Below are 15,655 nucleotides of genomic sequence, written 5' to 3'. Positions count from 1 at the left end.
GCGAAACTCCATCTCAAAAAAAAAAAAAAAAAAAGTAGAAAATAGGAATAGAAAGGGATTTCTTCAATCTGATATAGGACATCTATGAAAAATATACAACTAACATCATACTTAATGGTGAAATATGGAACACTTTTCTTTCCCTAAAATCTATTCAACTGTTTTTTGTTTTGTTTTGAGACAGGGTCTCACTCTATCACCCACATTGGAGTGCAGTGGCACTATCACAGATTACTGCAACTTCAAACTTCTGGGCTCAAGCAATCCTCCCACCTCAGCCTCCCCAGTAGCTGGACTACAGCTGTGCACCACTATGACCAACTGATTTTTTTTTTTTTTTTTTTTTTTTTGTAGACAGGAGGTCTCACTTTGTTGCCTAGGCTGGTCTGGAACTCCTGGCCCCAAGTGATCCTCCCTCCTTAGCCTCCCAAAGTGCTGGGATTACAAGTGTGAGCCACCTCGCCCAGCACTGTACTGGAGTTCCTAGCCAGTGCAACAAAAGAAAAGAAATAAAAGTCAAAGAGATTAGAAAGGAGGTACAACAATAATTCTGTCTTCATTGGCAGATAATATAACGGTGTATATAGAAAACCCAGAAAAATCTACAAAAAGGTACCAGAAGCAAGGTCACACATTATAAGACCAATATTAAAAAGTCATTTGAATTTTTGTGTATTAGAAATGATGAATTGGAAAACAAAATAATTTTAATTGCAAAAATTATGTTGTAGTAAATTCAATGAAAGATGCACAAGACCTGTTCACTGTAAACTAGAAAACACTGCAAACTACAAAACACTGCCAAGAAATTGAAGATGACCTAAAATAACAGTGATATACTGTTTATGTTTTGCAAGACTCAATATTTTTAAGATGTTCATTCTCTCCATATATTGATCTATATATTCAATACAATCTCAATTAAAAAGTAGGTTTTTTCTTTTTTCTTTTTTTTTTTTTTTTTGAGATAGAGTTTTGCTCTTTTTGCCCAGGCTGGAGTGCAATGACAATCTCGGCTCACCACAACCTCCTCCTCCCAGGTTCAAGTGATTCTCCTGCCTCAGCCTCCCAAGTAGCTGGGATTACAGGCATGCACCACCACGCCTGGCTAATTTTTTGTATTTTTAGTAGAGACAGGGTTTCTCCATGTTGGTCAGGCTGATCTCAAACTCCCGACCTCAGGTGATCCGCCTGCCTCAGCCTCCCAAAGTGCTGGGATTACAGGAGTGAGCCACCACGCCCGGCAAAAAAGTAGGTTTTTATGTAATTGACAAACTGGTTCTAAAATTCATATGAAGATACAAAAAAACCCAGCAGTGTTCCAGTTACTTCGGCTGTACTACAAATTACTCCAAAACTTCATGAAGCAAAACAATCATATATTATGCTCTCAGATTTTGTGGATCAGGAATTCAGCCACAGCACTGTGGTTTGTCTTTGTTTCATGTCTGAGGCTTTAGCCAGAAGACTTACAGGCTGGGTCTGAAGACTCTACACTCACACAGATAGATAGGCTGCTACTCTATGTGAGTCAGTCTAGGCTTCCTTACAGCATAGGAGCTGAGTTCAGGAGGTGAAAGTCCCAAGAAAGGGAGAGAGCAAATGCAGTGTTAACTTCCACTGCATTCTGTAGGAACAGGCAGTCAGTCACAAACTCCCATCCAGATTCATGAAGAGGGAATATAGATCCCACCCCTGGGTGGGAGGAGTGTCAAAGTCACTAGGAAAAAGACCATAAGGAATGGAAAATATTGCTGCAATCAGGAAAATACAAACTGCCACAATAATCCTGGGGGCGGAGGCGGGCAAGGGAAAGAGGAGGGTTCAAGGAATTTCAAGGCTCATTATAAAGCTACAGTATAATATACAACTATCTTAATTTCAAGGCTTATAAAGCAATGACATTCAACACTGTCAAACTGACCCAAGGATACCCAAATATAGCAATGGAAGAGAATCCAGAATCCAGAAATAGATCCACACATATAGTCATTTGATTTTTAATAACTTAGCACCAAGGTAACTCAATGAAGGAAACAACAAATGATGTTAGAACTACTATATATTTGTGTTTCAAAAAAAACTACTCTCAACCTCTACCTTAAACCATACACAAAATATAATTCAAGAATTCATTCAGGATACATCACAGACGCCCATTTAGCAGAACAAAATATGGATGTCTGAGTACCTGGGTACTCCATGGCCTCTCAAGTAGTTAAATAATTTATTTTTCTAATGTAACAACAAAACATTACAGTTTTAACGTAATTTGACCAAGCCCCTTAGATCAACAGGTGGCTCCACTGGGGCTGCAGTGAGCTATGATTGTGCCACTGTGCTGTAGCCTGAATGACAGATCTAGTCCCTAAAAAAGGGAGTAGGGGGGAAGGTAGATTAAATGCGAGATATTTGGTCAGTCATTGGTCAAACACTGCTAAGCACTATGACAGACAAAAGTCAGCCAATAGCTTCGTTTATGAGCCCACAAAATCAATGATCACAGTTATTATGTGATCATCACTGTGATAACAATTGAAACTCATCTTAACCTCAAAATTTCTCACAACAATTTCCTAGGTGCAAATACCTGATCAACCTATAAGAGCAGTCTGCTCTTATAAAAGTCTATAAGAGCAGTCTGCTCTTATAAAAGTCTATAAGAGCAGTCTGCTCTGCAGGAAAATACATAATTATCACATTGCACATTCCACCTTCCCAGAGTCATCTAAAATTTAGCGGCGTGCTGGTGAAATGCTTAACAGTCGGCTTTAGGCAAGGGCTGATTTGTAGTGTAGCCAATTTCCATTGCGTATTCATTCATCGTGAGCATGACATTACTGAATTGTGAAACTACTGAACCCAGAGATGGGAAGAGACGCACAGTAGAGCACCATAGTATAGTATCTCCTCCACAAAGATACAATAGATGTATAAATAACCTCAAAAGTAAAGTAACAATAAAACATGGTAAATAATAAAAGTGATGAGTTTTTAGTATTTTCACTGCCTTTGTTTTTAACATAATTTACGTAATTTTACGTTTATATGATTGAGTTTTCAATGATGGCTCTGTTTAGCAATGGGATCCCGTGAGTCAGTACTAAATTAAATACAACCTAAACATTCAAAATAGGGTAAGACGCATAACTTAAAGACGTGCTCCACTGCGAATTACACGGAATCTTTGACTATGCCGACTAAACAGAAGGCTATTCCTAAGTACCATCCCATATGTGCTAGTTTTTCAAAACCAACAATAAAGCAGTTGGGGAGGTGCCTTGTACACAGAATGACGCCACGAGGCATTTGAGATGAACGTCCAAAGGGACAAAGAAGCCAGACCGCTTCCGAGAACGGGGACAGAATGTCTTCGGGCTTCTGCGCCGGGGGCGGCGCCGGAAGGCTGGGTGAGCTCCACTGGAGACGACACCCCAGGGTGGTTAGGCCCCAGACACGCGCGTGACCTTGGCCGGACCCTGGGAGCGGCTGAGCCAGGGGCGATCCCCGAGCGCCCTCCCCGTCCCCGCGCCGCTTGGACTCCCCGGGGAGCTCGGTCGCGACTGGCGGGCGCGGAGCCCTTCCCCTTCCGGAGCCCAGGAAGGCGGCTCCCCGCGGCGCCGGCCGCGCGCGCGCCCGCCCTTACCTTGACTGGACGCGGCCATTTCGGTGAGCTTGTCTCGCGAGGACACACGTAGAGGATCTGCGCGGTAGGCCGCGGAGTGGCGCGCAGTTGTCGCCACCACTTGGCTTCCGGCACGTGGGGCAGATGTTTCCATTCCCACGGCGGCAGCGGAAGAGGGAGGGCCGGGCGCGCCGCGGCTGCTTGCAGTCTCCGCAAGCGGCTACATCACAGAGCTCAGCGTGCGGTGTCACAGGCCCCGCGGTCCCGCCCAACAGATGCACCGAGATGCGCGTGCGCAGAAAGCGTCCCGGGGGTGAGGCTCCCTCCCTCGCTCTCCCTCTACTCCCGCCCCACTCTCCCCCACTTTCCCCCCTCCACCCACCGCGGCCGTCGGGGCTCGCTCGCTCAGTACCTGGAGGCGAGTTCCTGACGCGACTGCGACTCAATCCTCGCCTGGTGAAGAATATTTTACCTATGACTCACTGAAAATAAAGACGGCTGAGTGACCGTGTTTGTTCATGTAAACATTGAACAAATATTTATCGGCTTCTGCGATGTGTCCTACTCTTTTAGTGGAGGAAGACACATTTTATTTATGTATTTAATTTTTCTTTTGAATTTTACATGCGAGTTATACTTAATAAAACTCACTTCAAAATATACCTTCAACAGAAAATCCAGCAACAGTTTCTATTATGTTAGTTAAAACAGCCAGTCTTTTCCTTTACTTTTAAAAATTATTCATAAATGTAATTAGTGAATGATAATAAACATTGACATCTGATCCACTGCTTTAGGAGTGACACAAATGAAGTTAACTCAGGCTATTTTCTTTATAATCATTGTGCTATTGTTTTCTTTTTCTTTTCAATTATACTGCTTAATATAGGATTTTGTGGCACCATAGGAGTTGAGTAAAAATAAAAGGAATAAAAATATACCTTATCTGGCCGGGCGCGGTGGCTCACGCCTGTAATTTCAGCAGTTTCGGAGGCCGAGGCGGGCGGATCACGCGGTCAGGAGATCGAGGCCATCCTGGCTAACATGGTGAAACCCCGTCTCTACTAAAAATACAAAAAATTAGCCGGGCATGGTGGCGGCCGCCTGTAGTCCCAGCTACTCGGGAGGCTGAGGCAGGAGAATGGCGTGAACCCGGGAGGCGGAGCTTGCAGTGAGCCGAGATCGCGACACTGCACTCCAGCCTGGGCGACAGAGTGAGACTGCGTCTCCAAAAAAAAAAGAAAAAATACGTTATCTATGAAGATTTCCAATTTGATTTCTATTTATCACAAATGGCCACAGTACTCCTTTGTACTTTACCACATACCATATTGTATTCAGTAATTATTTGTGAATATGTAATTGATAATATTGTAGGTTTTAGAGAATCCTTGAAAACATGAAAATTTGGTAATGGGGTCTATTTTGATTATTTATTTATTTATTTATTTATTTTATTTTTGAGACAGAGTCTCGCTCTTGTTGCCCAGGCTGGAGTGCAGTGGCGCGATCTCGGCTCACTGCAAGCTCCACCTCCCGGGTTCAAGCGATTCTCCTGCCTCAGCCTCCCAAGTAGCTGGGACTACAGGCACGTGCCACCATGCCCGGCTAATTTTTTGTATTTTTAGTAGAGGAGGAGTTTCATCTTGTTAGCTAGGATGGTCTAGATCTCCTGACCTCGTGATCTGCCCGCCTCAGCCTCCCAAAGTGCTGGGATTACAGGTGTGAGCCACCGTGCCCGGCCATATTTTGATTTAAAATTTAGCAATAATAGATAAAATTTTCAATCAACTAAGCCCTTGGGCCAGGGAATGCTATTCCTTAAAAAGTGCTTCTATCAATATAGCCTCTGACTCATTACTTTGTTAATTTTTAAATTGTATTTCATTCCTGATTAACATTCCCACCCAGATTATTAATTATACAATCTGTTAACTGTAGAACCTCAAACATGTTGGATTGTACTGTATTTGTCTGGAAGACACATTTTTAAAACATTGTAATCGCTATAAGAGAAGCACTGGGAAAGAAAGGAGCTTCTATGCCTGCAGTGCCTGAGGAGCCCTTTAACAGTGTGCCCCGCCCCTAAGCTACTCATGCAGTCATCCCCATCCCAGTTAGTCAACTTTATTCCAAAAAACTTGGTGTTCCAAATTTTTCCTTCTCAAAGCCCACAGATCCAAAATTCATCAGCAGTTCCCACAAACGTTACCCTCACAATGAATCCAGCCATTTTTCACCCTCTCCAGTGGTACCATCATAGCCCAAGCCGCCACCATTTCTCACCCCCGGTTAACAGGCCACCCTCCTTCTACCCTTATCCTGCTAGAGTTTGTTTTATCTACAGTGATCAGAAAGATCAGCCTAAAAGATAATTCTGATCACCACCCTCCTCTACTCACAACCCGGCCGTGTCTCCCCATTGCCCTCAGTGTAGAAGTCAATGTCCCTTTGCTGAAATGCAACCTTAGTGAAACTTTCCATGACTAACCTCCTTTAAAATTGCAACCTGGTCCACCCTTACTCCCCCTTACCCCACTTCTCTTTTTTGCACAGCACTTATTTTACCTTCTAACATACTGTATAATGTACTCATGTATTGTAATTATTGCTTATCATCCCTCTTTCAGTTGCTTATATTTTTCATCAATGTGTACCCAGTGCCTAGGACAATATCTGTCTAGGACAAATGGGTAGTTATGTGGCTGTAGGCAAGCCATTTAACCTCTCTGTACCTCAGTTACTTTATCTGTATCCACTTTGCGGTGTTGTCATGAGGATTAAATCAGATAGCCTATGTGTAGCACCTGGCAGTGAATTTATCACCCTGTACTGTAACTGTCTACTTTTCTGTCTCCTCCATTGGACTGTCATTCCCAGGGGGTTGGGAACTGGGATTTCTTCATTTCTGAGGCATAGAAGTATAGCATAGTGGTTAGGAGCATGACTTCTGGAGCCAGAGTACATGGGTTTGAATGCTACCACTCACAAGCTGTGTGGCCATGGAGAAGTTGCCTAACCTCTCCGTGCTTCAGTTTCATCACCCATAAAATGAAGGTAAGAATAGTACCTGTATTTAAAAGCACCTAGAACAGTTCCTGGCATATAGTGTCAGCTGTCATCTCTGCATCCTTGTACCTGTCAGAGAGGAGTGTTTATCAAAGGGGCTTCTTGCTGCCTGTTTCCAAACCAGTCGACAATATACCAATTGCTCCCTAACACATTCTTGTTTGTGCAGAACTGAGCTCAATGATAACATTTTTATAGCAACCCTGATCAAGTTTCTTCTCATAATCTCTTACACTTTGAGGCCCCTGCAGGGGCCCTCACTCTCCCTAATAAACATTAACCTGAGTAGGGTGTTTGAGCTCACCATGGCTACATTCTGATGTAAAGAGATATATCCTATACCTGGGCCAAATGTAAACAGCCTGGAAAAGTGTTAGGTTAAAAACAAAACAAAATAAATAAATGAATAAATGCCAGGTGGTTATGAGTGCTATTGAGAAAAATGAAGCCAAGAGGGATATCAGTGATGCAGGTGGGGGTAAAGAGCTTACAACATAAATGTGGTGTTCCATATTTAAACCTCATTCAACAGGGAAGATTGGAGCTGAAATGTGAAGGAGTTGTGGGAGTGGAACTACGTGGAAATCTGGGGGAAAGGTGTTTTGGGTAAAAGAAATAGCAAGTGTTGAGGTCCAGGGGCATGAGTGTGCTTGATATTTTAGGGAAGAGTAAGGAGACCAGTATAACCAGAGTGAGATGAGACTACAGAGGTCAGGAGAAAGGGCATGCAGACCATGTGGGATGCTCTAGGACCTAGGCCATGGTAAAGATGTAGGGTTTTACCCTGATGGAGGTCAGAAGCCATTGGAGGATTCTGAGAAGAGGAGTGACAGGACTCGCTTTATAGTTTTAAATTATAACTATAAATTATAGTTTTTAAAACAATAGTTGCCTAACCTCATGTTATATGTAAAACTACAGTTTTAAAAACTATAAATTCCTCATACTGGCAGCAGTGTGAGGGGCAAGGGCAAAAGCAGAGAGACTAACAGGTTGCTGGTTACTCTTGCTAGTGCAAGTGAATTCTAGAATCTTCGACAACATCCAGAACTTCTCTTGCTGCTGCCACTCAGGAAGAGGGTTGGAGTAGGCTAGGAATAGGAGCACAAATTAAAGCTCCTGTTCACTTTGACTTCTCCATCCCTCTCCTCCTTTCCTTAAAGGTTCTGATTAAAGCAGACTTATGCCCCTACTGCTCTCAGAAGTGAATGGGTTAAGTTTAGCAGCCTCCCTTTTGCTACTTCAGTTCTTCCTGTGGCTGCTTCCCACTGATAAAAAGGAAGCAATCCTATCGGTTACTGCTTAGTGCTGAGCACATCCAGTGGGTAAAGTTCCTTAAAATGCTCTGCAAAGAAATTGGGACTTTTCATTAAATCAGAAATTTTACTTTTTTCCCCTCCTGGGAGCTAAAGATATTTTAGAGAAGAATTAACCTTTTGCTTCTCCAGTTGAACATTTGTAGCAATAAGTCATGCAAATAGAGCTCTCCACCTGCTTCTTTCTGTGCCTTTTGCGATTCTGCTTTAGTGCCACCAGAAGATACTACCTGGGTGCAGTGGAACTGTCATGGGACTATATGCAAAGTGATCTCGGTGAGCTGCCTGTGGACGCAAGGTAAAGGCATGTCCTGTAGGGTCTGATCGGGGCCAGGATTGTGGGGATGTAAGTCTGCTTGGAGGAAGGTGCAGACATCGGGTTAGGATGGTTGTGATGCTACCTGGGCCCCAAAGAAACATTTCTGGGTAAGGTGTGCACACATCTGTGTTATTAGCAGAAATGCTAACTGCCAATTCTTTTCATAGGTCTGACCTATTTGTTGATATTTTGTTCTGTTTTGTCCATTGCTTCTCTTCGTCATATGCTGCTCCTCCAGAATCTAGAGACTGGAGTAGAGGGAGGGTGAAGGGACAAAGACAAAACTTCCCTCTGCCTGCCCAAGCTTCCATAGAGAGAATCAAGGCAATGAAATCCAATCAATATCACACACAAGTTTCATGTCTGGTTCTCTTGTGTGTACATGCAATGTGTGTTTTTATAATATCTTTTCCTACTTTGGGTGTAAGGATAATATGAGCCTTGAGTTCAGAAGCTTTTCGTGTTTTGGGGGTTCTGGTGCATTTAGGCAGAGTATTAAATAACTTTATCAATATTGTCTATGGTCATCAGTTGATTCAGATTTTTCTACCTCTTCTTCAGTAAATATTGGTATATTTTGGTCTATACTTTCATAGAAAGCAATCTACTGTCCCTAGATTTGATAATGTATTGGTATCAAGTTATGTAAGAGTCTCCTGTGATTTTGTTAAACTGTTCTGTGTCTGTAGTTATATTTTCTTTTTCATTCCTTATGTTGTATATGTTCTCTTCCTCTCTTTTAAAAATAATATTTCCAGGAGTTTTCTTGATTTTATTGGTCTTGTCAAGAATTTTCTTTTGGTTTGATTTATCAATCTCTTTTTTCTTTCTGTTGCATCAGTTTCTGCTTCTACTTTCATTGATTTATTCCTTCCTTCTAATTTCCTTTGGTTCATTTTGTTGTTAGATTTTTGCTTCTTGAGTTGAATGCTGAAATCATTTATTTTATTTTTTTGTCTTCTTTAAATGTGTATTATAAAGATTTAAATATAATACATAGATTGTGGCTGTGTAAACATTAAATGTGGTCATGTTGTACATACTTTATATTCTTTTTGGTTCTTTCTGTTTGGCTCCCCACCCTCTTTCCACATCAGTCCCCTTCTCCCCCACCTCAGCTAGGTAACCCCAGTATGATAATATATATTCACATACACATACACACACACAAAGGTTTTCTTGGACATTATTTGTTTTATAAAATTGGGACATTATACACACATTTCTCACTCATTAACACGTACTAGAACTCTAAGTCAATTGGTATAGCTTTAATTCATTATTTTTATTGGCTATATAAGATTCTATGGTATGGCTGTATCACAATTTAGTCAATATGTTCACTTTATTCCAGTTTTTGGCTACTATATCCTATATCATTACATACTGGTGCTTTTACTTCTGTTGAACAAACTTGCAAGAGGAATATTAATGGAACGAAGGGAATGTTTCCTTCTAAGTTTTAATTTCCAAAGAGGTCAGAACTTTTCAAACATTTCTACCATCGAAGTATGAAAATGGCCTTCTCTCTGCATTCACATAGCGATAAGTTTTATCCTGTTTTTAAAATTTGCCAATTTTACAGGTGTAGAGTGATATTGCATCATTACTTTCATTGTGTTATTTTTATTTCTAATAAGTTGAGCATCTTTTTAAATGCTTGTTGGCTATTGGATTTATTTGGGGGATTTAATTAGTCATATGATTTGCCCATTATTCTTTGGACTCTTTCATTTAAAAAAATTATGAGAACCCTTTTATTATTACAAATATTAACTCTTTGTCATGTATATTGCAGTTTTCCCCAAGATCTATTGTTTGTCTGTTGACTTTCTTATAACTTTTACCAAAACAGTTTTTAATTTTTATAATCAGAGATATCTTTTCTTTCATATCTTCAGAGTCGGCAAGGTTGGTTAAAAATGTTTCCCACACCTCAAGATTGTACGTGTAATCTCCCAGATTTTCTTGCAAGATGTTTACTGTTTCGCTTTTTATATGCATTGCTTCAATTATCTGCTAATTACTTTTGTCATATGGCATGAGAGAGGGATTTGTCTAGTTTTATTTCCATCCAGATCAATAGCCTATTGTGATGGCACCTTTTGCCACTGATTTGAATCAACACATTCATCATATAAAGTTCTCATATATATTAGCATATATTTCTGGATTCATTAGGCTGTTTCACTAATCTACTATTATCTTGCTATGCCAGTACCATAGTGATTTGATTACAGTGAGCCTATGATATCTTCTGATATCTGGTGGGTGAAAGCAATCCTCACTATTCTTTTTGTACCTTTCTTAGCTATTCTTAGACACTTTATTCTTCCACATAAAACTGTTAAGATATTTTTCAAATTAAAAAGATCCAAGCCCTGTTGTGATTCTAACTGCAATTTCATTAAACTCAGACCTTAATTTTATTAATGTAATAAATTTAAATATTTTTCTTATTACATTTATCTCTGTGTATTTTATAAGTGTGATGCTATTGTTAATAAGATAGTTTTCTCCTATTTCCATTTATGAGTGCTTAGTACCAAATAGAGATAAGCTATTGGTTTGTGTATTTTCAGCTTTTTCTTTTGAGCCTGGGTCTCATTTTGTCACCCAGGCTGGAGTGCAGTGGGGTGATCTCACCTTACTGCAGCCTCAACCTCCTGGATTCAAGCAATTCTCCTGTATATCAGCCCCCCAAGTAGCTGGGACTACAGGAGCAGGCCACCATGCCCGGAAAATTTTTGTATATTTTTTAGAGATGGGTTTTTGCCATGTTACCCAGGCTGGTTTTCAACTCCTGAGCTCAAGCATTCCCCCCACCTCAGCCTCCCAAAGAGCTAGGATTACAGGTTTGAGCCACCGCACCCAGCCATTGTATATTCATCTTAAATCTAGCTACCTTACCAAATTTGCCTATTAATTCTAGTAATTTTACCCTAAAGTCTCTGTGAGTATTGAATCATATCATAAGTTAAATGAGACAGATTTTAGCTCATTTCCAATATTTATAGCCAGTTATTTCATTTTCTTATCTTATTGAATTTATTAGAAAACAAGAGCAAATGTTAAATAATAACAATGAAAGTGAACATTCCTTCTACTCTATGATTTTACTTGAAATAATTTTTGTATTTTGCTATTTAGAGTAACATTTGCTGTTTTGGTTTTTGTAAATGGTGTTTATTCTATTCTCATTTGCCACAAAATGTTTATCATAAATAAGTTTTCAGCAGCTGGTATCATCTGAATTGTCTTCTTTGATATGCTGATGAACAAATTATGTTCATAGATGTCCTGACACTAAATACCCTTACATTCTTGGAGTAAAATCTACTATTCATGGAATTTGATCATTAGTGGGTTCTATGTACTATTTCTTTAGACTATTCTTAGTAGATTTTCACTACTCAACCTACTAATAATAATAAACAAAGTTTTGTTGGCTTTATCAAATGAATTGATGAGTACTCCATCTTTTTCTATTGCTTAGAATAGCTTAAGTAACATTTGAATTATCCATTGTCTAAAAGTTAGGTGAGACTCACTTATGAATCCATTTGGTCCTAGTGGCATTTGCAATATCTTTAATCACCCCTCCAGGCTCTTCTATGATAATCAGTCAATTCAAGTTTCAACTTCCAATAATTATATACCTTTCTAGGAAGTAACTTTATTTATTTTTTCAATTTTGTTGCCACAGTGTTGCATGTAGCACTCACTCATGATTCTTTTACTCCACATTATCTGTAGTTATGTGCCCTTTCTTATTCCTAAATTCCTCTATCTTTGCTATTTATCTTTTTTTCCTTGAATAAGCTTGCCAATGACTTGTCTATTTTGTTGCTGGTGGTGCTCTTTTCAAAGAATGGGCTTTTGGATTTTTTTTTTTTCTAGTTGGTATAAAGCATTTTTATTTTCACTGAGCAGAAAAAGAAGCTATTGATTCATTAACTGTGCTGCTTTATTGGCATGTAGCTATGCACTGTTCACACATTAATATATAAAACTCGTCAGTCTGTTTTATTTTGTCTGATGGGAAAACATGAACAGTGAGATTTCTTATGCAAAAAGTGAACAGTTCAACTATGCTAGCTCCATATACCTTTATTAACATTCCAGAGACTTATCCTCTCAACATGATCTGATTTCTGTAGGATAACTTTTCAGGAAAAGTATTTTCTGATCAGTGAAGCTTGGAGATATAAATAAGCAATCGGCCAGGTATGGTGGTTCATGCCTGTAATCCCAGCACTTTGGGAGGCCGAGGCAGGCAGATCACCTGAGGTCAGGAGTTTGACACCAGCCTAGCCAACATGGCAAAACTCCGTGTCTACCAAAAAAAAAAAAAAAATTAGCTGGGCATGGTGGTGCTCACCTGTAATCCCAGCTACTGAGGAGGCTGAGGCAGGAGAATTGCTTGAACCTAGGAGGCGGAGGTGGCAGTGAGCTAAGATTGTGCTCAGCCTAGGTGACAGAGTGAGACTCCATTTCAAAAAATAAAAAAATAAAAAAAAGCAGTATCTCTCATATTCATTAACTGGACCCTGACTTTCTTAAAGCTCACCCCAAAGCTGAAGTCCATGAAGGCACTAGTTCTCAAACTTCAGTGTGCATAAGAATCACTCGGGAAGCTTATTAAAATTTACATTCCTAGGCCCCATCCTCAGCAAACTATTTAGTCCCCAGGTAATTCTATCCCACCCCACCCCAGCTTTATTGTGGTATAATTGACAAATAAAAGTTGTATATATTTAAGGTGTACAAGATAATGTTTTGATGTAAGTATACATTGTAAAATGGTATAGCATGAAGGGTTTTCTTTTCATTTTTTTCAGAATAGTTTGTAATATCTTCTTTGATTTCATCTTTGATAATCTAGACGTATGATTTTAATTGCTTTTTAAATTTGTTTATCAAGTTAGTTTGTAGTATTTGGGTCAACATTGAATATCCTGTTAATTTCCTATTGCTGTGTAACAAACTACATCAAATGTATCAGCTTATGACAGACCCATTTACTGTCTCACAGTTTCTGTGAGTTAGAAGTCCAGGTGGACTCAGCTGGATACTCTGTGCAGGGTCATACAAGGCCAACACCAAGGTTTTAATAGGGCTGCACTCCTTAGTGAAAGCTCTTGGGGAGAATCTGCTTACAGGCTCATTTGGAATGTTAGCAAATTCAGTTCCTTCTCTCACTTTCCATGTAGTGCCCTCTACCAGCAATGGTGCATCAACACTCTCTCATGCTTGGAATTGCTCTGACTTCAATTTTCCGTGCATATCTCTGGCCTTTTTTGCCTCTCTCTTTTACTTTTAAGGACTCATGTGATTACATTGGGCCGACCTGGGTAATTCAGAATACTCTCCCCATCTCAAGGTCAGCTAATCAGCCCCTTAATTCCATCTGCAAAGTTTAATTTGCCACATAATATATTTTTGGACATGACACCAAGGAGCAAAGGTGATGTGGGCCAAATTTTTACCTGCCACAGGTATAGTTTACATACAATGAAGCTCATCAATTTTAAATATGCAGTTTGATGAGTTTTGACAAATGCATACACTTGCATAACCACCACCCTAATCAACATGCATTTACATCAACCCTCCTGCAACTTTTTAATGAGTCTCTCCCACTGACCTGGCCTCAGCCAATAAACTGCTATCTGGAAGTTACAGATTTGTTTTCACATGTTCTAGAATTTTACATCAGTGGAATCATACGGTATGTATTCTTCTATGGCTTTTTTTCTTCAGCATCATGATTTGGAAATTCATGCAGGTTGTTGTATAAAGTATTTCTATCCTTTTTATTGCTGATTACTGCTCCATTATGGGATTATATCATAATTTTGGATTATTTCCAGTTAGGAGCAAATACAAATAAACCTGCTATGAACAGTGCTCCACATGTTTTGTGTGAACATCTATTTTCATTTATCTTAGTTAAATATCTAGGAGTGGAATTGCTGGATCATATGGTAAGTGCATGTTTAAGAGAAACTGCCAGACAGATTTCTTGAACGTACCATTCTATACTCCCACCAGCAATGCATGAGAGTTCCAGTTGCAATATATCCTGGACAACATTTGATGTTGCCAGTACTTAATGACTGCACAGTGGTATCTCACTATACTTTTTTTTTTTTTTGAGATGGAATCTCATCCCATCACACAGGCTGGAGTGCAGTGGCGCAATCTCAGCTCAACATCTGCCTCCTAGGCTCAAGCAATTCTCATGCCTCAGCCTCCTGAGTAGCTAGGACTATGGTCACACGCCACCGTGCCCAGCTAATTTTTGTATTTTTGGTAGAGACGGGGTTTTGCCATGTTGGCCAGGCTGGTCTCAAACTCCTGGCCTCAAGTGATCCACCCGCCTCGGCCTCCCAAAATGTTGGGATTACGGCTTGAGCCACTGCACCTGGTTATACTTTTAATTTGCGTGTCTCTGATGACTAAAGATGTTGAGCATCTTTGCATGTGCTAATTAGCCATTCCTATATCTTCTTGGAAGTGTCTATTCAAATCATTGGTCCTTTGTTTTTAAACGTAGTTTCAACTTTTATTTTAGACTGAGGAGGTACATGTGCAGGTTTGTTACATGAGTATGTTGCATGGTGCTGAAGTTTGGGTTACGAATGAATGATCCTGTCACTGAAGTAGTGAACATAGTACCCAATAGGTGGTTTTTCACTCCTTGCTACCCTTCCTCCTCCCTCTTTCCTCTAGTCGTCTCCAGTGTCTATTATTCTATGTCCATGTGTTCTCATCATTTAGCTCCCACTTCTAAGTGAGAACATATGGTATTTGGTTTTCAGTTCCTGTGTTAATTCACTTAGGATAATGGTTTGCCAGTTTTTAATTGGGTTGTTTGTCTTGTTATTGTTGAGTTTTGATAATTTTTTATATATTCTGGGTACAAGACTATTCAGAGGTACCTGTTTTGAATGTTTTTTTCCAATCTATGGCTTGCATTTTCATTTTCCAAATGGTGTCTTTCAAATAGTGGAAATTTATAGTTGTAGTTAAGTCCAATTTAGCTTTTCTTCTTCTATGATTCATGCTTTTTTTTCCCCTGTCCTAGGAAATCTTTGCCCACCTCAAGTTCACAAAGCCTTTCTTCTGTTTTCTTCTAGAACTTTTATCATTTTAGCATTAGTATTTAGGTTTATAATACATTTTGAGTTAAATTTTCTGTATGGTGTGACTTTTCTTTCTCTATTGAATTCCCTTGGTGCCTTTGTAGAAAATTAAATGACTGTATATAGGCAAATCTGTTTATGGATTCTCTAGTTCCATAGATGTGTATATCTGTGCTTA

At 39.7% G+C, this 15,655-nt stretch overlaps 2 protein-coding genes across 2 annotated transcripts in view, besides 3 other annotated features; one reads left to right on the top strand and one right to left on the bottom strand.

Moving 5' to 3' along the window:
- FUNDC2 (FUN14 domain containing 2) overlaps positions 1–3,874 on the bottom strand; it is a 33,461-nt gene extending 29,587 nt beyond the window's left edge. The window contains exon 1 of the mRNA NM_023934.4: positions 3,647–3,874. Within this exon, the coding sequence (NP_076423.2) occupies positions 3,647–3,779 (133 nt within the window). The 5' untranslated portion in view covers positions 3,780–3,874. The remainder of the gene's footprint in view (positions 1–3,646) is intronic.
- Positions 2,293–3,196: an enhancer, noted in NCBI's record as "H3K27ac hESC enhancer chrX:154255797-154256700 (GRCh37/hg19 assembly coordinates)". NCBI's record gives its function as "activates a minimal SCP1, AML or CMV promoter by ChIP-STARR-seq in naive H9 embryonic stem cells {active_cell/tissue: H9 hESC(naive)}" and the evidence as "EXISTENCE:reporter gene assay evidence [ECO:0000049][PMID:30033119]".
- Positions 3,374–3,693: a silencer, noted in NCBI's record as "silent region_21121". NCBI's record gives its function as "represses an Ori minimal core promoter by ATAC-STARR-seq in GM12878 lymphoblastoid cells {active_cell/tissue: GM12878}" and the evidence as "EXISTENCE:reporter gene assay evidence [ECO:0000049][PMID:35858748]".
- Positions 3,964–4,053: a silencer, noted in NCBI's record as "silent region_21120". NCBI's record gives its function as "represses an Ori minimal core promoter by ATAC-STARR-seq in GM12878 lymphoblastoid cells {active_cell/tissue: GM12878}" and the evidence as "EXISTENCE:reporter gene assay evidence [ECO:0000049][PMID:35858748]".
- F8 (coagulation factor VIII) overlaps positions 7,995–15,655 on the top strand; it is a 186,932-nt gene continuing 179,271 nt past the window's right edge. The window contains exon 1 of the mRNA NM_000132.4: positions 7,995–8,308. Within this exon, the coding sequence (NP_000123.1) occupies positions 8,166–8,308 (143 nt within the window). The 5' untranslated portion in view covers positions 7,995–8,165. The remainder of the gene's footprint in view (positions 8,309–15,655) is intronic.

The sequence above is a fragment of the Homo sapiens genome, chromosome X, assembly GCF_000001405.40.
Source record: "Homo sapiens chromosome X, GRCh38.p14 Primary Assembly".
NCBI classification, from domain to species: domain Eukaryota; kingdom Metazoa; phylum Chordata; class Mammalia; order Primates; family Hominidae; genus Homo; species Homo sapiens.
The sequence above is the reverse complement of the archived record's forward strand: the minus strand, read 5'-3'. Positions and strand labels throughout refer to the sequence as shown.